The sequence below is a fragment of the Homo sapiens genome, chromosome 13 (genome assembly GCF_000001405.40).
Source record: "Homo sapiens chromosome 13, GRCh38.p14 Primary Assembly".
Classification (NCBI taxonomy): domain Eukaryota; kingdom Metazoa; phylum Chordata; class Mammalia; order Primates; family Hominidae; genus Homo; species Homo sapiens.
In genome coordinates this window covers 48,770,721-48,772,257 of record NC_000013.11, presented here as the reverse complement: position 1 = coordinate 48,772,257, position 1,537 = coordinate 48,770,721, and the positions used below count along the sequence as shown (strand labels likewise).

The following is a 1,537-nucleotide window of genomic DNA, read 5'->3' as shown; positions in this document are numbered from 1 at the left end:
CTCCTCAGAAAGTCTGTGTTAATTCTCCCTTTCTTCAACACAGCTTCCTCTCTGTGGTCTTGGCAACCTCCAGGGCTAATATGCATCTAGTTAAGGTGCTAAGCTCAGACAGGGACTAGAAGCACCACAGGCAGCCGATAGGCTTACTATTCACACTGGGCGCCCACCTGAATGCATGTGGCAGTTTTTACCTTACAAGTGCCTCCCTGTCAGGGCTCAATGCCTCATGTGTTCTCATTTGTAAACTCAATATGTCTTGTTCCTTAGTGTGCTTGTCCTCCTGCTCTTTCCATCTGGGCCTAGGCTTCCAGAGGGTGCTACATTCTGTAGCTGCCCAATCAACAATTCCTTGTCACTAACAGGGGTATTCTTTTTTTTTTTTTTCTGACACAACATATAGATCATTTATTTTCCTTCTAGTCCTGGGTTCAGTACATAGATGGCTTCTTTTCACCCTTTGGGTTGACAATTTTCTCCAGGTTGCTGTTGATGATATGATAAAGCTCAGCATAGAAGGCCCTCAGGTCCAGCACCATGGCCCTGAGCTCCCCATAGGCTGCCTCATCTCGCTCATGCACCAAGGCCCGGTAATCCATTACATGAGTCTCCTCGGAGGCCTTGGCCGCAGCATCCCCACGTTCTGAGAATTACTTGGAAATGGTTGTCTGGAAAGCTTCCACTTTGGTCTTGACAGCATTCACCCTCTCCAGCACCTTCTCCTGGATTGCTACCCCAAAATCATTTCCATCTTCAATCTTGGGGATTAGGTGCTGGATCCATGTAATCACCAGAATGAATTTCTCTTTGAGAGTCCAGAATTCTGGCTTAACCAGGGCAAGCAGGGACAGGACTTTCTTATTCCCAGGGAGAAATCCACACTTAGGGACTTCTTTCTTCTCCTACTTATCTGTTTCCATCTCATCATCCTTGGGTGGAGGGTCTGGGTTGGGGATGTCCAGTGGGGCCCGGAGGGAAGTCAGGTCAGCCACACTGAGGGAGCCCTCTCGCAAGAGCTGATTCAGGTATGTGATTTTCTGTGGCAAGAATCTGTAGAGGAATTCCTCAGCCTCCTGGAAAAGGAAGGAAGACCTCCACCTGTTTGCGCTCAGGCGCACCCTACATGGCTTGGCCGTGCTGCTTCAGTTGCTAGATCTCTGGTCTCTAACAGGGGTATTCTTGATACCCCTGGAGATGTCTGCCAGTGACAACACATCCTTCTGACTCTAGTTTGCAAGGAGCTCACTGCTCTGGTACTAGGATACTATAATATTTGTATTCATCAGGGTTCTCCAGAAAAACAGAACCAATAAGATATATATCTATAGATATATAGATAGATAAATAGACATAAATATAAGAGGAGATTTATCATAGGAATAGGCTCACAAAGTTATGGAGGCAGAGAATTCCTACAATCTATTGTCTGCAAGCTAGAGAACAAGGAAAGCCAGTGTGTAATTCAGTCTGGGTTCAAAGGCCTGAGAACCAGTGTGAAGTGGGGTGATGATGTAAGTCCTAACCTGAATCCAAAAACTTG

The 1,537-nt window shown here is 46.5% G+C and overlaps 1 pseudogene; it reads right to left on the bottom strand.

The window, feature by feature from the left end:
- On the bottom strand, positions 388-1,162 carry PSME2P2 (proteasome activator subunit 2 pseudogene 2; annotated as a pseudogene).